Source organism: Homo sapiens, chromosome 3, assembly GCF_000001405.40.
Source record: "Homo sapiens chromosome 3, GRCh38.p14 Primary Assembly".
NCBI classification, from domain to species: domain Eukaryota; kingdom Metazoa; phylum Chordata; class Mammalia; order Primates; family Hominidae; genus Homo; species Homo sapiens.
The window spans coordinates 14,290,845-14,309,998 of NC_000003.12; the positions used below are offsets into that span (position 1 = coordinate 14,290,845).

At 50.8% G+C, this 19,154-nt stretch overlaps 5 annotated features.

The window, feature by feature from the left end:
* Positions 243–944: an enhancer, noted in NCBI's record as "NANOG-H3K27ac hESC enhancer chr3:14332587-14333288 (GRCh37/hg19 assembly coordinates)". NCBI's record gives its function as "activates a minimal SCP1, AML or CMV promoter by ChIP-STARR-seq in primed H9 embryonic stem cells {active_cell/tissue: H9 hESC(primed)}" and the evidence as "EXISTENCE:reporter gene assay evidence [ECO:0000049][PMID:30033119]".
* Positions 945–1,645: an enhancer, noted in NCBI's record as "H3K27ac hESC enhancer chr3:14333289-14333989 (GRCh37/hg19 assembly coordinates)". NCBI's record gives its function as "activates a minimal SCP1, AML or CMV promoter by ChIP-STARR-seq in primed H9 embryonic stem cells {active_cell/tissue: H9 hESC(primed)}" and the evidence as "EXISTENCE:reporter gene assay evidence [ECO:0000049][PMID:30033119]".
* Positions 2,569–3,069: an enhancer, noted in NCBI's record as "H3K27ac hESC enhancer chr3:14334913-14335413 (GRCh37/hg19 assembly coordinates)". NCBI's record gives its function as "activates a minimal SCP1, AML or CMV promoter by ChIP-STARR-seq in naive H9 embryonic stem cells {active_cell/tissue: H9 hESC(naive)}" and the evidence as "EXISTENCE:reporter gene assay evidence [ECO:0000049][PMID:30033119]".
* Positions 7,071–7,623: an enhancer, noted in NCBI's record as "H3K27ac-H3K4me1 hESC enhancer chr3:14339415-14339967 (GRCh37/hg19 assembly coordinates)". NCBI's record gives its function as "activates a minimal SCP1, AML or CMV promoter by ChIP-STARR-seq in naive H9 embryonic stem cells {active_cell/tissue: H9 hESC(naive)}" and the evidence as "EXISTENCE:reporter gene assay evidence [ECO:0000049][PMID:30033119]".
* Positions 16,416–17,150: an enhancer, noted in NCBI's record as "H3K4me1 hESC enhancer chr3:14348760-14349494 (GRCh37/hg19 assembly coordinates)". NCBI's record gives its function as "activates a minimal SCP1, AML or CMV promoter by ChIP-STARR-seq in naive H9 embryonic stem cells {active_cell/tissue: H9 hESC(naive)}" and the evidence as "EXISTENCE:reporter gene assay evidence [ECO:0000049][PMID:30033119]".

Sequence of the window (19,154 nt, forward strand, 5' to 3'; positions counted from 1 at the left end):
TCTGTTGGCTTGGATCCTCTTCTCTTTGACCCTGGGAGAAAAACATGAAGCCAGCATGGGAGTCAGGGGTGGGAGAGAGTTTAGATGACCAAGGAGCCACTGCCTCCAGAGGCAGGGAGTCCTCATTCCTGAGGCTGTGAGTGGAGGCTGAATGACCACGGCCTTCTCACAGTCCACCCCACCCTCTGGGGAGGCCTGCAGACTCTGCCGCTGCTGCAGACAAGCTTTTACTTCCCTTCTTCAAGCCACGCTTTTAAAAAATCTGCTATGTGAGCACTCCAATGAATTGGTTTGGCTTCTGCCGGCTGTTAGCTGGACTAAGGAATTTGAATGGCACTTTACAGCTTACAAGGCTCTTTCATCATTCATTAATTTGGCAAATGTTTACCTAGCATCTGCATGACAGGCATGCCTTTATTGTTTTATTGGGCTTCACTTTATGGCACTTCAAAGACATTGTGTTTTTTACAAATTGAAGGTTTCTGGCAACCCTGTGTTGAGCAAGTCTCTCGGCGCCATTGTTTTCAACAGTGCATGTGCACTTTGTGTCTCTGTGTCACGTCTTGGTAATTCTCAGAATATTTCAAACTTTTATCAGTATTATTATATCTGTTACGGTGATCTGTGATCAGTGATCTTTGATGTTACTATTGCAATCGTTTAGGGGCACCATGAACTGTGCCCATGTAAGACGTGAACTTAATCTATCAATATGTGTATTCTGCCTGTTCCACCAACCGGCTGTTCCTCCATCTCTCTCCCTCACCCCAGGCCTCCCTATTTCCTGAAACACAACAGTATTGAAGTTAGGCCAATGATGGCCTCTAAGTGTTCAAGTGAAAGAAGGAGCCATACATCTTTCACTTTAAACCAAACGCTAGAAATGATTAAGCTTAGTGAGGGAGGCACCTCGAAAGCCAAGACTGACTAAAAGTGAGTCCTTTTGTGCCAAATAGTTAGCCAATTGTGAATGCAAAGGAAAGTCTTTGAAAGAAATTAAAAGTGTTATTCTAGTGAATTCACAAACAATAAGACAGTGAAGCAGCCTTGTTGCTGATATGGAGTAAGTTTGAGTGGTCTGGACAGAAGATCAAACCAGCCGCAGCATTCCCTTAAGCCAAAGCCTAATCCAGAGCAAGGCCGTAACTCATCCATTCTTGTTTGTTTGTTTGTTTGTTTGTTGGTTTGTTTTGAGACACAGTCTCGCTCTGTTGCCCAGGCTGGAGTGCAGTGACACAATCTCAGCTCACCTCAACCTCCATCTCCCGGTTCAAGTGATTCTCCTGCCTCAGCCTCCCAAGTAGCTGGGACTATAGGCACGTGCCACCACGCCCAGCTAATTTTTGTATTTTTATTAGAGATGGGATTTCTCTATGTTGGCCAGGCTGGTCTTAAACTCCTGACTTCAAGTGATCCACCTGCCTCGGCCTCCCAAAGTGCTGGGATTACAGGTGTGAGCCACCACACCCGGCCCTTACTCATCAATTCTATGAAGGCTCAAGAGAGGAGAGAAAGCTGCAAAACAAAAGTTGGAAGCTAACAGAGGTTGATTTAGAGATTTAAGGAAAGAAGCCATTTCTGTAACATGAAAGTGCAAGGAAAAGCAGCAAGTGCTGATGTAGAAACTGCATCGAGTTGTCCAGATCTACTAGCTAAGAGCATTGATGAAGGTGGCAACACTAACAACAGGTTTTCAATATAGCTGAAACAGCCTTCACTGGAAGAATATGCCATCTAGGACTTACATAGCTGGAGAGGAGAAGTTAACGCCTGACTACAAAGCTTCAAAGGACAGGCTGACTCTCTTGTATAGGGGCTAGTGCAGCTGATGACTTTAAGTTGAAGCCAATGCTCATTGGCCATTTCCAAAACAGTAGGGCCCTGAAGAATGATGCTAAATCTACTCTGCCTGTGCTCTAGAAATGGAACAACAGAGCCTGGGTGGCAGCACATCTGTTTACAGCATGGCTTATTGAACACTTTAAGCCCATTGTTGACCTACTGCTCAGGAAAAAAATATTCCTTTCAAATATGACTGCCCATTAACAATAGACTTGGTCACCTGAGAGCTCCCACGGAGATGTGCAAGGACATGAATGCTGTTTTCATGCCTGCTAACACAACATCCATTCTGCAGCCCATGGATCAAGGAGTCATTTTGACTTTCTTATGATTGAAGAAACACATTTCATAATGAGAGGTGACAGTGTGCTGGCAGTCCTCACAGCCCTCGCTCACTCTCGGTGCCTCCTCTGCCTGGGCTCCCACTTTGGCGGCACTTGAGGAGCCCTTCAGCCTGCCGCTGCACTGTGGGAACCCCTTTCTGGAGCCGGCTCCCTTAGCTTGCGGGGAAGGTGTGGAGGGAGAGGCGCGGGTGGGAACCAGGGCTGCCCGCGGTGCTTGCGGGCCAGCACGAGTTCCGGGTGGGCGTGGGCTCGGCAGGCCCCGCACTCGGAGCGGCCGGCCGGCGGACCCCGCGGGCCCCGGGCAGTGAGGGGCTTAGCACCTGGGCCAGCAGCTTTTGTGCTCAATTTCTCGCGGGGCCTTAGCTGCCTCCCCGCGGGGCAGGGCTCGGGGGACCTGCAGCCCGCCATGCCTGAGCCTCCCCTCCCTGCCGTGTGCCCCTGCGCGGCCCAAGCCTCCCCGAGGAGTGCTGCGCCCTGCTCCACTGGCGCCCAGTCCCATCGACCACCCAAGTGCTGAGGAGTGCAGGCGCAGGGCGTGGGACTGGCAGGCAGCTCCACCTGCGGCCCCCGTGCGGGATCCACTGGGTGAAGCCAGCTGGGCTCCTGACTCTGGTGGGGACTGGGAGAACCTTTATGTCTAGCTAAGGGATTGTAAATACACCAATCAGCACCCTGTGTCTAGCTCAGGGTTTGTGAATGCACCAATCCACACTCTGTATCCAGCTACTCTGGTGGGGACTTGGATTGGAGAACCTTTATGTCTAGCTAAGGGATTGTAAATACACCAATCAGCACTCTGTATCTAGCTCAGGGTTTGTAAACACACCCATCAGCACCCTGTGTCTAGCTCAGGGTTTGTGAATGCACCAATCACACTCTGTCTCTAGCTACTCTGGTGGGGACTTGGAGAACCTTTATGTCTAGCTAAGGGATTGTAAATACACCAATGGGCACTCTGTATCTAGCTCAAGATTTGTAAACACACCAATCAGCACCCTGTGTCTAGCTCAGGGTTTGTGAATGCACCAGTTGACACTCTGTATCTAGCTACTTTGGTGCGGACTTGGAGAACCTTTGTGTCCACACTCTGTATCTAGCTAATCTAGTGGGGACGTGGAGAACCTTTGTGTCTAGCTCAGGGATTGTAAACGCACCAATCAGCACCCTGTCAAAACAGACCACTCTGGCTCTCTGTAAAATGGACCAATCAGCAGGATGTGGGTGGGGCCAGATAAGAGAATAAAAGCAGGCTGCCTGAGCCAGCAGTGGCAACCCGCTCGGGTCCCCTTCCACACTGTAGAAGCTTTGTTCTTTCGCTCTTTGCAATAAATCTTGCTGCTGCTCACTCTTTGGGTCCACACTGCCTTTATGAGCTGTAACACTCACCGCGAAGGTCCGCAGCTTCACTCCTGAGCCAGCGAGACCACGAACCCACCGGGAGGAAAGAACAACTCCAGACGTGCCGCCTTAAGAACTGTAACACTCACCGCGAAGGTCTGTAGCTTCACTCCTGAGCCAGCGAGACCACGAACCCCACCAGAAGGAAGAAACTCCGAACACATCTGAACATCAGAAGGAATGAATTCCGGACATGCCGTCTTTAAGACCTGTAACACTCACCGCGAGGGTCCGCAGCTTCATTCTTGAAGTCAGTGAGACCAAGAACCCACCAATTCCGGACACAATAAGGCTATAGCTCCCATAGATAGTGTGTACTCTGATGGATCTGGGCAAGGTACGCTGAAAACCTTCTGGAAAGGAGTTACCCTTCTAGATGCCTTACAAACATGCATGATTTATGGCAACAGGTCAAAATATCAACATTAGGAGTTTGTAAGAAGTTGATTTCAACCCTTGTGGATGACTTTGAAGGGTTCAAGACTCCAGTGGAGTAACTGTAGATGTGGTAGAAAAAGCAAGAGAACTAGAATTAGAGGTAGAGCTTGAAGATGGGACTGAATTGCTGCAATCTCATGATAAAAGTCAAGTGGATGATGAGTTGTTTCTTAGGGATGAGCAAAGAAAGTGGTTTCTTAAGATGGAATCTACTCCTGATGATGAGGCTGTGAACATTGTTTAAATGACAACAAAGAATTCAGAATATTACATAAACTTAGTTGATAAGGTAGCAGCAGAGTTTGTGAGGATTTACCACAATTTTGAAAGAATTTCTACTATGGGTGAAATACTACCAAACAGCATCGCAGGCTACAGAGAAATCTATCATGAAAGGAAGAGTCAATTGATTGCGCAAACTTCACTGTTGTCTTTGTTTTGTTTTGTTTTTGAGGCAGAGTCCGTCTCTGTCACTAGGCTGGAGTACAGTGGTGTGATCTTGGATCACTGCAACCTCTGCCTCCCAAGTTCAAGCAATTCTCCTGCCTCAGCCTCCCAAGTAGCTGGGACTACAGGCGCGCACCACCACGCCCGGCTAATTTTGTATTTTTAATAGAGATGGGGTTTCACCATGTTGGCCAGGACAGTCTCCATCTCCTGACCTCATGATCCACCTGCCTTGGCCTCCCAAAGTGCTGGGATTACAGGCGTGAGCCACCATGGCCGGCGCATTGTTGTCTTTTTTAAGAAATTGCCACAGTCACCCCAACCTTCAGCAACCACCACTCTGATAAGTCAGCAGCCATTAACGTTGAGGCAAGAGACCTTCCACCAGCAAAAAGATTAGGACTTGCTGAAGGTTCAGATGAGACTTAGCATTTCTTGGCAATACAGTATTTTTAAATTAAGGTCTGTATGTTTGTTAGACATAATACTATTGCACACAATAGGGTACTACTATTTTAGGCACAATCCTATTTCACACTTGTAGAGTGTAATGCTGTTGCACTCTACTGATTACAGTATAATGTAAACATTAACTTTTCTATGTACTGGGACACCAAAAGACTTGAGTGAGTCACTTTATTGTTATACTAGCTTTATTGCAGGAACAGAACCTTCAGTCCCTCTGAGCTATGCCTGTATTTGCTAGTCATGGCTCTAAGTGCTTTGCATATAATAACTTACTTACGAAGCAGGTAGTGGTATTATAATTATCCTTATTTTACAGACGAGGAATGTATGGCACAGGACCGGATTTATGATAAAGTTCAAAAACTTAAGCTTCAGAGTTTCGCACACAGGCTCATCCCCAGATACGGTCCACCACTGTGTCAGGTGTAAAATTAGCAAAAGTAATATAGTTTACCTGCGAACAGCTAAAATCACTGTCACTTTCTACTGTGAATCTCATCTCTGGCTCTTTCTCTCATCCTGATTAGCACTGGAGTGGCTGTGGGCATTTTGCGGACCCAGCTTAGGGTTAGTAGAGTTGAAAATACACTGAGTTTGGGTTTACTGAGCTAAATTTATGCAGTTCAAAGTCCTTCCATGCATAGTTAGGTTACCACTAGCCACCAGGTGTCGGAGATAGTTTCTAGGACCATCCTACCGCTCAGTTTGCTAACTAACCTAGATCTTGATTCAAAGACAGTGACTCAGAGTTCCCATCATGATATGAATTTATTCTCTGCCCCCCCAGCACAGAAGGTATGCAGAAAGTGAAGGAGAAGCTACTCTATAGAAAATTCCTTCAACCATTAACTACGTAAGACTGTAAATGGAGGATTGGCTTCTCTGTGTATCATCCATGTGCCTGCTTCCAAACAAAGCCCTCTCTTGTCAGGAATGTACTCAGTAATGCAGGGTATATCATAAATACACAATATGGTTTTTTTTTTCTTTTTGGGGAGGATTATACCAAATGCAATTCATCAGAATTTCTGTTTGTAGGGCACAGATTTATAGTGTTACTAAAGGCAGTGAGGATATCTGTAACCAACCAAAATATGAAAAAACTTCATGGAGGTTTTTCCAGATTTGACAGTGGTGCTAAAATGTGTTTGCGTGTGTGTGTGTGTGTGTGTGTGTGTGTGTGTGTGTCTGGGTTTATAGAAAACATTTCCAAGTACAAGTTGTGAAACTGAAAGAAACTTTCCTAAACTTTATTCAATAGGCCACATTAGAGGAAAGACGGAATTATCTTTTAATTTTCTATGAATATGACAAAATTGTCATCATATAAAGGTGATCAATGACATGTTGGGGAAAAAAGGATAAAAGTATGTCAGACAACTGATAAAAATGTTATTTTTCTGGATTTTGTGATGTTCGTGACATTTGTAAGCTTTCTAAAATTTCTAATTTCCTGTGATTCCTTTTTTCATCTTGGTACCTAATTTTCCATTATTTTTCTTAAGTGGGCCCCAAACTGGGCTCATCTAACTACCAGGATAAGGTATTATAGCTTCCTTATGCAAATATGAGCACAAACAATCCCTCTTCTTATTTTTTCTACCCTCTTTACAGTCAAGGTGGCTCACAGCAGCCTCACCGCCTGCTGCAGCAGGACAATTGGCGGAGTGAGGAGGCCACTGCCTAGTCCCGGGAGAGGGTGGTGGCTGGAGGGATACCTGGGGACTGCCGGGCTGTGAAGAGGTGGCTGGCGTTGCAATCAGTTTTAAAGAGGGTCAACAGGGGTTGCTGAGGGTGAAAGTGAGGGTAGGGGTGGAAGAAAGAAAGGATGGGTTCACAGCTCGTGTCTGCCACTCTGATTTTTCCCTGGGGGCTCTGACTCAGGAAGTCTGGATTTTGGGAGGGCTGGCGTTGGTAGCCGACAACAATACCTCTCACCTGGCATCCGCAGCACCTCCATGCCCCCAACGCCAGCGCTCCGGCCGTCGCCCGCGCAGAGCCGTGAGAACACCCGGGAAGCGCGCAGGCTCTGGGCACCCCGTCCCCGCCGCAGCCTGGCCCGACCCTCCTGGCCCTGCGTGGGCGAACACGTGCAGGCCCTCCTGGCGCGCGCCCCACGTGCAGCCCCGCGTGCGCTCTCCGCCTGCTCCCTCCCTGGCCCGCCGCCGCCTGGGCCGCTGCCAGCTCCTGGAGGCACTGACGCCCGCAGATGGGCAGGGGATGCGGGTGGGGGCTGCCCTTGGGGTGGAGGCCGTGGAGCGCATCCCGCTGTGTGATCGGGCACGTGGCTTCGCTGCCCTGAACCTCCCTTTCCCAGTTTAGGCCTAGGAATGCCGGCTTCCTGGAGAGCCTGTGCTGGCTTGTTGAGCGTTTCCAGCGCTTAGAAGACTATAACAATGATAGTAATCATAAGAATGACGGTCATTTACGGAGGGCTCACGCTGTGCCAGGCCCTGCCCTAAGCACTCAACCTTCCTAGCAACACCATGATGTCAGCCCGCTTATTGTCCCCATTTTAGGGGTGAGGAAATGAAGGTAGGGCGATAATAGGATGATTATTACTACTAAAAATCATAACACAATGGCTGTTGTCAATAAGAAGGATAGTAACAGGGCCATGGCTTACTGAGGGCTTAAATGTGCAAGCAACTGACACCTAGGCTCACATCAGCTCCTTACATCTTTCCAGCAGGGGCACTGGTATCATCCCCACTTTACAGATGAAGACTGAGTCTCCAGGAGGGAGGGTCACTTGCCCACGATGACCCAGTTGCTCCAGTGGGCGAGCCAGGACTCCAGCCCATGCCTGTCTGAACAGACTCTTAGCCATGGTCACTACCAGCCATTCCTGAAGGCATCTGTCACTCCAGGGTGGACTTCTCAGTTTAAGACGGACAGGGCACTTACTGTCTGTGACCACAGAATGATGATTTGGGCTCTGAGGCTCCACCAGGGAAGTGCTGCACCGGAAGGCACTCAGCGGGGTAGAGGAGGAGGTGGATTAAAAGTGGGGCTCAGGTCCTCACCCACCTACCACACCACCCTGGCCAGAGTCTGCTTCCTGTCTCAGGGTTCAGGTGAAGGAGCCCAGAAGAGCCACTTCCTGTAAATGTTCCTCCTCTTGTAGATTTCAGGCTGGGCAGTCTGGCAGAAGACACCTGTGCTTGTTTTCTGCCAAGTCCTGGTGGTCTTGCCATCTCCCCTGTAGATCTGCTGGCCCCGCCATTCGTGAGCCCCAGAGGCCTGGATTGAGAGGCTGCCAGGGAGGCCTGGAGCGTGTCTGAGGGGTCGGCACCTTGGCGCTTGTCTGGAAGTCTCCCAGGCTTGGCCCCAGCCCACTCTTTAGACCTCTGCTTCACCTCCCTGCCATGCAGACCCCTGGCCCAGCCCAGAAAGCCCCTGGGGCTTGTCAGGAACCCGGATCAACAGAACCTGATGGGCCAGAGAGGATGCCAGCCATGCAAGGTCGCACAACAATCAGGAGGCAAAGGCCACTCTCTGCCACCTGAGAAGGATGATGGGAATTGGGCCCCTGCCCCCTGCACCCCCATCCTGAGGTTAAGTGTGAGGCCTTGGAGAGGTGCCCATCTGTGTGCCCAGTAGGGGCTGTGTGGCTCTCTCTGACCCAGCCTGCTGGCATATAATTGAAGGTCATCCTGGGGATCAGTTGGGGCCCCCAGGAACTGGCCCCAGGCTGGCTGGCTAGCTGGGGTCCTCTGCACACGGATGTCCCCCTCCTCTACCCAAGGTCTTAACCTGAGAGACCCCTCTCCCTGCTGAAGGTGTAAGGGGGTGGCATCTTCTTCCTACACAAGAGGGCGGTACCCAGATCCCTGACTGTGGAAGAGGGAGTGTGGTTCATGAGAGAGCCCAGGCCAGGTAAGAAAGGCCCCAAATGTTTACGAGCACTGGCCTTGTGTCAGGGACCCAGCTGGCACAGGGTAGAAGGCCCCACTCACAGTGTCCCCATCATCAACACCCACCCCTACCCCACACACAGTGTCCTCACCACCAACACCCACCCCCACCCCGTACACAGTGTCCTCACCACCAACATGGGGCACCAGCAGGTGCACTTGTTAATGAGTGAACTACCTTGACACATCATCATCACCCCGACTCCATAGTCTATGTGAGGCTCACTCTTGGTGTTGCACATTCTATAGGTTTGAGCAAATGTATCATAACGTGTCTGCCATGACTAGATCATACTAGGTAGTTTCACTACCCTAAAATTCCTCTGGGCTTCACCTATTCTCTTTTTTCACTTTGTTTCTTCGTTTTCAGAATGAAAACAACTTTACTGATTTTAAAATCATGCATGCGCTTAATAGCACCCTCCTATTCCCCAGACAACCACTGCTGAGAGTGTGGGGTATGTTTCCTTTCAGGTGTTTTCTGTCTGTATCAACATAGCCCACCCAGAGTATATAAGGAGTACCCAAGAGTCCATAGGAGCTAATATTGGGAATTGGCATTGACTGAGTGCCTACTATGTGCTTGACCTCACTGGACATTAAAATTTTTTTTTTTTCTGAGACAAGATCTCACTCTGTCACCCAGGCTGCAATGCTGTGTGGCACGATCATAGCTCACTGCAGCCTTGAACTGAGCTCAAGCGATCCTCTCACCTCAGCCTCCTCAGTAGCTGGGACCACAGGTGCACACCACTGTGCCCTGCTAATTTTTTTTTTTTTCTGGTAGGGACAGGGTCTCTCTGTGTTGCCCAGGCTCGATCTCCTGGCCTCAAGCGATCCTTCCACCTTGGCCGCCCAAAGCGCTGGGATTACAGGCGTGAGTCACTCCACCTGTCAAACCTCACTGGACATTTAACACTCACAGCAACACTGTGCGGTGGCCACCATCTCTGCCTCCGTTTCACAGATGAGAAAACTTAAGGCTCAGAGAGTTGAAGGTCCTTGCCCAAGGTCCCAGGAATAGAAAGTGTCAGAGCTGTTTCTAATCAAGTGACAAAGAAAGAGTCAAGGCTGGAATTTGAGTCAAGTTAGCTCTGACTCTGCACTTGGAAAAGCAGAAAGCATCTTGACGTGAGGAATTCTCTCCTACCCCAACCGTGGGGACGGAGGTTCTGAGCCAACATGGAAAGGGCCTGAAGAAACAGCTTGCTGGGTGGCGGGCCCTTGGAAGATGGAGTGGGAAACCTCAGCACCCTGCGGGTGCCCTTCTCAATCCTGGCTCTTAAGACCCAGGAGCCTGAGCCTGGGAGAGAGGAGGTGATCTCTTTTCCTCAGCCTGTGTCTGTAGGACTCACATCAGCAGAAAGTACACACCCACTCAGAGGAACACACTGCCACATTCCACACACTCACATGTGCACACCCTACCCCTCATGACAGCCAAGCTCTCTCCTGTCCACTCTCCCATTTCCGCCTCATATCCGGGCCACCTCCTCCAGTTGCCTACATTGCGCACTGCACAGTTGCAAGGGGATCAGTCACATGGACTGCAATGTGAATGGCACCCCCTGGAGTTGTGTGACACTGCTCACGTTGAGCGGGGAGACTTGGCTTATTTTACACTTGGCAGAAACTGATGCTCAGAGACAGCCAGTGACTTACCCACTGGTCAAAGAGTGCGTCAGTGCTTGGAACAAAAATCTGTCATCTTTTATCTCCCTTCCCCCATGCCTTTCAAAAAGAATTATTTCTAAAACTTTGATATGTTTTAAAAACAAATTGTTGTTAAACTTCTATCTAGTTGTTTTTGAGGAGGTTCCATACAAAATCTTAAGGGTACCAAAGAGCATAAAAAGAAAGTCATTCCCCTCCCACCTGTGAGCCCGGGACACCGGTTCCTTTGCCCAGAGGCAGCCGCTGCTGCTGGTTGTCGTGTGTCTGGTCCAGAGACACTCTAAACATCGTTTACACAAATGGGAGCGTGTGATGCTGCCCGCACCCCAGTGAGGGCTTTGTATGCCCTGCACCGTGCCGGAACCTTGCAGCCGCCTGACTCTGTTTTACTGTCCACAGGATTCCCTTACATGGAGGCCCCGCTGGCTATTTCGCAACACCCACTGGCATTCACTTAGGGCGCTCTGATCTCTCGCTGAAGCAAACCATGCTGGTGAACTCCCTTGCCTGTGTGTCATTTCACATGTCGGAAAAATCACCTGAAAGGTAAAGTCTTCATTTCTTTTAGACCTAAATATTTCATTTTTGAAACAAACTGAAATGGCATAAAAGGACATATAATAAAGTAAAAGAGAAGGTCCGAGTTGCCCCCACCCCTATTGATTCTACTCCCTGAAAGTGGCCACTGTTTCATCTCATATTATTTCACAGTTGCTTATGGGGCTTAAGATATGTGGTTGATTTGCAAAAATGGCCGTAGGCCTTTCCCGGGGCCAGCTTGGTGGAGACGGCAATCCAGGAGTTCCCTGCATTGGGAATGGTGGTGGGATCAAGCATGTGGAAGCTTCCTGAAATCTGGAGTGAACCTCTCAACTCCAGCCCTCTCACCATGCCCATTCCCAGCAAAACTACAGTCCCTTTGTCCCTCCCAGCCTGACCCCTTCTGCCAACACCAGGGGCCAAGGGTGGGAACCTAGGGTCTCCACAGAGGTGAGCAGACAGGGCTAGGAGCTCAAGGCACAGGGGAAGGCTGTCCGCCTGCCCAGTCAGTGTGCAGAGGGTAAATAATTCCCAAGTGTGTCTTAGGGAGAAAAGATAGTCACCAGTGACTCTACCTCACCACCTCTCACCTGCTTCATTGGGTCACTTCTTTACCCAACACCCTTTTATTGAGCACCAACTGCATGCCTGGTACTAAGTGCCAGGCATACATCCAGGGCAAAACCAACAAATTCTCTGAGAGTTACATGTTCATTGGATGAGACAGAAAATAAGCAAATAAGACCATGAATATATACTATGTCAGGAAGTAGTATGTTCTCAGGAAAAAAGCAAAGCAGAATAAACAGGAGGTCAGGGAGAAGAGGGTGGCCGAGGAAGACCCATAAGAGGAGGAGACACGAGCACAGGTGAGTGATGACTAGGAGTGAGCCCTGCAGACAATGGGAGAAGGCTTTCTAGGCCAGGGGAACCCCACACACAAAGGCCTGGAGACAGGAGAGTGCAGCTATGCTGGAGGGGCAGCCAGGGGACCCACATGGCTGGAGCAGTGGGGTAGAGGGGTGGCGGGGAATGGTGGGAATGAGAACAGAGGTACCACCTGTCACCCTAATCCCCTATCCAGTCCTCAGCACCCCACTCCCAGCATCCACAAAACCACCCTCTGCCTTCTCCTTCCTTCTGCCCACCCTGAGGAAAAGGCATCTCTCCTCTTGCTCAGGGCGGGTTCCCTCTCTCCTCTGGGCTGAGTCCCTTCTCATCTTTCCTGCCACCGCAGATGCAGACGCTGGCTCCAGCTGCAGAGCCTTGGCCTCTGCTGTCGCCGCTCCTTCTGGGTCCTCCACACCCCTTTCCACCTACCTGGCTCCTGTTCAGCTTTTCAGATCCAGGCTAGGACCTGCATCCCCACAAAAGCCCTCCCTGCTGCCCAGGCTGGGCCAGCGGCTCCCTGGCTCCTCAACCACCTGCACTTTCCCTTTTCCACTTCTGACTGTTTGACAAGGCAATGAGCTCCTGGGGTCAGAGAAGTGCTCAATTCCCCTGTGTGTCCCCAGCTCAGAGCTTAGGGTTTGGCCAGATGTGCAGGCGACACTCCTGTGGCTTCAGGCTGAGGCCTCAGGCTCCCCAGAGCCTTTTGGCACCCTGTCTCCCTGCTCATCCCCTTGCTTGTCCTGCTACCCCAGGGACAATTGTGTCTTAACCACATTGACCTACTTGCTGCCCACAAAACTGATCTGGTGCTTCCTGTCCCTCCCCCTGGCCCTGAACTGCTACCACCACTCTCATCTTCCTAACCAAAATCTCCTCCATCAAAACCCAACTCCAGCCTACCTGGATGGGGGCAGAGGAAGACACGCCAGACAGGAAGGCCAGCGAGGCATATTCACTGTGTGACCTCCAGCACCTCCTCTTGTCTGGGTGACCCTCAGCTTCCTAGTCCACAGCCTGAGGATGCAGCGGTCCCCAGAGCACAGGGTGGGGGTGAGCGGCAGATGGCAAGACCCTGTCCTGGCTCCTCCCCTTGGCTTTGGGCTCCCTGAGATGCTGTAGTCATCTCTGGATCCCTCCCAGTGCCCAGAACTTAGAAGCTTCTCAGCAAATATTTATGAAATGTATGAGGACACCATACTTTATCGTTTACATTGGCACACACGTTATTGTGCTCTGTCCTTGCTGGCATCCCTCCATTACAGGCCTGCAAGCCCAGGTTGCTGGACTGAGTGGGCAGGGGATTGGTCATGAGCTTCAGAAAGAGCCCTACCAGACATTCAGGGAGGTTGTGGAACCCACCCAAGGCCACACAGTCAACAAATCACAGAGCCAGCCCTGGACCCCGCGCTCTGCAGAATCCAGGTCCTGTGCACATCACCTCCGTCCTCCCTGTGACTCTGCAAGGTGGGCCCTCTCGCTCTTTCCTTTGGCCTTTTGTTATTTCTGAGGGCTACAGATCCTGGAACTGCAGCCGTGATGGGAAGAACAGGACACAGGGTGCCCAGCAGGAAATGCCAGGCACTGAATGGAAGGTGGGGGCTGAGGAGCAGTTGGCACCTCTGTGCCACAATGCACCCCTGAAGGGTGGAGTTGCTTAGAGACCTGGTGAGGCAGGAGCCAGCTCCCCTCTGCAGTGGCCATGTGTTCACCTTGGAGCTGGATGTGGCTCTGGGCACTGCTTACAGATGGAAAGTGGCCAGAGTCCCAGGAGGGAAAATAAGCACTGTGTTGGTGTCCTGCCATCCCTCTTTGGTGTCCCTGGGCCATGACAGAAGGTTAAGGCTGAGGGCAGAGATGTGGTCTTGGGGCTTGGTTGCTTCTTGGCACTAGGAGGGAGCCTATGGGTGTCCTGCAGTGTTTGTCTGGCACTCACAACCAGTAAGGAAATTGTCTTCTGCTAGGAACGCTCCTGAATACTCAGTCTCCCTGCCTGCAACACACATGCACAGGCTTGGGGAGCCCTGGGGCTGAGAAATCCACTTCCAAGCACATATTCAGCACCTACTCTGTACCAGGCATGCCCAGCCAAAACGTCAGCTGGGGATGTTGCTGTGTGAGCTTGGCAAGCGCCTTCACCTCCTTGAGTCTCAGCTGCCTTAGCTGGAAGGTGGAAATAATGACCTCACCTGCCTCGCAATCCAGTGGGCAGAATTAACATGACTGTGGAAGTCTCAAGTGGGACCATTACAACTGCAAAAGCCCTGGTCAGCAACTAAGACCCTACAGGGTTTTTTTTTTGTTGTTTTTTTTTTGAGACAAGGTCTCACTCCATTGCCCAGGCTGGATGCAGTAGTGCAATAATAGCTCACTGCAGCCTCAACCTCCTGGTCTCAGGTGATCCTTCCAGCTCAGCCTCTGGAATAACTGGGACTACAGGCGCGCCACCACATCTGGCTAATTTTTGTGTCATTTTTTGGTAGAGACAGAGTTTTGCCATGTTGCCTAGGCTGGTCTTGAACTCCTGGACTCAAGCAATCCTCCCGCCTCGGCCTTCCTAAGTGTTTGGGATTATAGGCGTGAGCCACTGTGCCCAGCCTGAGACCCTATAGTTAAATCATTTGAGTCTTCCGAATCTCAGGAGAAAGAGAAGAGGGAGAAGAGTGCATGCTGAAGTACTTAGTAAATCATCCGAGAGAGATAAGCCAAGATGGGAGGCACGGGGGAAATCTTTCGCAAGTATTTCCTTCCAGCCTGAGGCTTGCCCTTTCACTTTCTGAAGGGTGTCTTTTGATGGAGAGAAGTTGTTAATTTTAATGAAGTCCAACATATCAATTTCTTCTTTCCCAGTTAGGGATCCTTGTGTCCTGTTGAAGAAACGCTTGTGTCACAGGGCCATGCAGACTGTCACCATGCTCCATGCCCAAGCCTGGCATCCCTTTCGAGTCATTTTTATATACAGATGAATTGAGGGCCGAGGTTCGCGGCTCTCCAAGCAGCCGTCCGGTAGTCCCGGCACGATGCATTGAAAACCGTTTCTGTTCCCAGTGAACTGCAGCGGTGGCCTTTGGTTATGGCGTACCACACAGCCATAAAAATGAGAAGTCACTGCCTCGTGCAACAGCATGGGTGAAGCCGGCCGACGAGATGGTAAACAGAAGGAGTACATGCCTGGGGATTCCATTTATGTGACATTCCAGGGAGGCCACGCTGACACAGGCCAGGCTTGGTCACCTTGGGTGGGTGTGGTGTGCCTTCTTGGGTGTGGAAATGATCTTGATCCGGGTGGTGGCTCCACGGGTGCGTGCAGACGAAAAAAAACGTGGAGGAGCCGTGCTGTGAAGATGAGCACGCTGAAGGGTCCGTATGCTGTACACAAATTTAAAAGAGTGTTTCTAAAGTGCAGAGGAGGAAAAGATGAAACCCTCAAACAGAGGTGTTTGCTGTGGAAGCTTTGAAGAGGCTTCTGAAAGGTGACGACTGAGAGAGAAAAAAAAGGGGCAGCTCCTGCCATCTGGAAGCTGGCTCAGTGCTCACAGCTGGGCCACGCCGTCCTTCTGTGGGACATAAACAATCTAACGAAACCAACCTCTGCCAAGGGCGCTCTGAGACCAAGATAAAGGGAGACAGAGTGAGGTCACTGGACAGAAGCACGGTCCCTGTATCACCCACGGAATACGAAACACCCCCTCTTGACTCCTTCCCTTGGCTTAAATGGGTGACTGCTAGGCCTCCACCAATTCTAGCTCATCCTCCTTCTACTCTCCCTCCCTGCAGGTTAGCATTATTGAGATCCACAATCATAGGATTGCCCCCACTTTCTGACAGCAGCCAATCTAACGAACCCTCACTTCCTCAGATTCTCCCCAAATCACCCACCCAAAGCCCCAATCCTATAATAGGTTCTTTCTAACACCCTCCTACTGAGACACCCACCCTTCCCCATGGGGGTGCATTCTCCCTCTCTGGCTGGAGGGCCCTGAAATCTTGCAGGATGATCAGATGAAAACAAAAAGTCCCTCAGAGCAGTCTGAAGAATGTGACGCATGCAAAATATATCAGGCCCATGGAGGTGTTTTTGTCCTTTCTTTCCTCATAATTTCAAGACTAGCTGATTAAGTTACCTAAAATGCCATCACAAGTTGCACAGTGCAACCCTCACCTATTATCTTCATGTTCCTGGAACTGGTGATACAAGAACAGTAGTCAATCAATTGCCTATGTTCAACTTAGAAACTGTGCCTTCTTTTTTCCTCTAAAACCCAGGAACAACTGCTGCTACTCGGAACACATATTCAGGGCAACTTGAATCTGTATCTATAAGGCTGCCGTCCTCAAATTCGGAGGGAAGGATGCTCTGAGCAAAAGCAGACACTGAGGGGCAGGTGGTGCTGACGGAAGAGGGAAAAACGTGCTGCCTCTGTGCAGGGCTGGGGTGGGGATGCAGGGGAGGTGGGTTGGAGCCAGAGTGGCATGACCTCGAATGCCAAACCACAGCTCTGAGACCTCAGTGGGAGCAGGGCAGGGCCAGGGTGAAATCGGTGAGGCCGGACTGAAACTAGTGAGTGCCTCCTTCAGTGGTGCCTCCTTTCTTCCCTCTCTCCCTGGTCCTGGGGAGGGGCCACAGCAGAGCTTCTGTAACTGTCTCTAATTCAAGACCTGGCCCTGAGCTGCTGGTGGCCACCCTGGCTTCTGGTCAGGATCAGCGTTGGCAGGGCTGTCACCAGCCCTGTCCATAGGGCAGCTCTGTCTCCCTCACGTGGCAGTGACCACTTCCAGCCTGGCACCCAGGCCTCCCACCTGCAGCAGGACACGGGGCATGGAATCCACAGGCAGGGGTGCTATCAGTCTCTCTCCCCCAATCGCCAGCCCCGCCGCGCCTCTCCCACTGGGACATTTCTCTTTTCTGCTTGTTTGCCACTGGGAATGTGGCTGTGGGCCCCTCCTCCTCGAGGCCAGCGCCTAAGCTCCTCAGGGCTTCTCAGCCTCTGGCCCCTCTCTCCTCCTTCTCCAGCATCTGCTCCAGCCCCTCCTCCTCCAGCACATACTGGCTTCCCACCAGAATTTAAACATGTCCCATGTGCACCCATCCCAAATAACAAACAACAAAAGCCGCCCTGGACTTCAGGCCCTTCTGGCCTCTGCCTCTGTTTTTCTGTCACCTCTTTCGAAGGAGTCGCCCACCCCGGCTCTTCCCTCTTCCCCGTGCTGGCCTGGTCTCCATCCCTCCTTGGGACCTCTCCTGTCTAAGGCCTGGCCAGTCCAGGGCCCTTTCTAGGTCCCATCTGACTCCCGATGCCCAGAGGCGTGCTCCTCCCTTGGCCTCCGGCCACCCTGGCCAGTTCCTCCTGGACATCTCAGGGCTCCTCCTCAAGTTCCTTGGCTGGCTCCTCCTCCCCCGGCTGGTGAGCCTCGAGTGCCGGGGCTTGAGGTATTTCTCAGCCTCTTCTCAGGCCTTAGGTTCTCCTTGGGTGATCTCACCCCCTCGGCTGATTTCTACCACCTCATCGACCCCCAGATCTCTTCATCTCTGGCCCCACCCTCTCTCCCAATTTCCAGACCTGTGCATCCTGCCACCTGCCAGATGTTTCCACCTGGGCCCCCAGAACTCCAAACACCCATCCCAACTTGGGTTCCCTGCATCACATCTTCATGTGCAAGGGATGGAAGAGGCAAAGACGTCAGAGAAGCAGGGTCATGGAGGGGAGGAAGCCAACCAAGCAGGGCTGCAGGAGGCAGCCCACCTGACCCAGGGAGCTCTGCAACAGGAATCACATCCTACAGCAAGCCTTCCAGATGGCAGGCAAGGGAGCTGTGCTTTCACATTTTTGCTCCAGGCTGGGACTGGGGGCCCAGCAGCATCTGGAAGGCAGCCTGCCCAGGAGCCCCTGGAGCAGCTGAAGGACACATGTAAGCAGGGGGTGGGGAGGACAAAGGGATCAGAGGAGACAACATCCAAGGCTACATTCACCATCTCCCTAGGGTCACTTCCCCTCTGGAGTTTGCCATCTCTGGGAACCAGCCAGTGAGTTGGAATCACCCTCAAGCCCAGTTCTCTTTAATTCAAACATCTTGGAGGTAGAGAGATGGCACAGAGAAGCCCCAGTTACGCCCTGCCCTCAAGGAACTCCTGGTCTAGCAAGAAAGGCACCCTTCCAAAGAGACCATTAGGAGTCCATGAGACCAATAAATGACAGAGGAAAAGGGCTGCCACTACCCTTCCACCCCAGGAAGAGCAGCTCAGGGGCTGGGGACCATTACGGAAGACAGTCAGCTTAGGATTGCAGCAGGATGGTGGGGTTGAGAAAGACACTCACAGAATGAGGAAGATTGATCAAGTAAGGAGGTAGAAAGGTGACCCAGGTGGGAGGAACAGCAAGAGCAAAGACAGGGAGGTCAGAAACAGCCCGGGGGTACAGAGAACAGCAAACACTATGGTTTCATTGAGAATTCCCTAAACTTTATCCACGTGCCACCTAGACTATTTTTGACCTAATGGTTTTCTCTAAATATGATTTTTTAACTTAAATAAATTTGTTTCAAAAGGAAACTTCATATTATTATTTATCTAGAAAGTAAACACTACTTGCTATAAAGAGAGATAACTAGAAGTCAAGATGGTGAAACGAAGCAAAACCATTCAACTCTAGCTGGAAGCTATTGCCTGCCTGGACTCCAAGCCTGAGTCCTGCCCGCTCTTCCATGAAAAAGAGTCCAGCTACACACACCAATTAGAATGTCCAAAATCCAGAGCACTGACATCACCAAATACTGGCAAGGATATGGAGCAACAGGAACTCTCATTCATTGCCGGTAGGAATGCAAAATGGCACAGCCACCTTGGAAGACAGTTTGGCAGTTTATTGCAAAACTAAACATACTCTCACCATATGACCGGGTAATCACATTCCCTGATATCTATCCAAAGGAATGGAAAACTTATGCCTACACAAAAAGTGCATGTGGATGTCTACAGTAGCTTTTTCCATAATTGCCAAAACCTGGAAGCAACCAAGATGTCCTTCAGCAGGTGAATGGGTAAATAAACTGTGGCATATCCAGACAATGGAATATTATTCAGTGCTAAAAAAAATGAACTATCCAGCCATGAAAAGACATGGAAAATGTAAATGCATATTACTAAGGGAAAGAAGCTGCTCTGAAAAGGCTGCATAGTATGTGATTCCAACTGTATGAC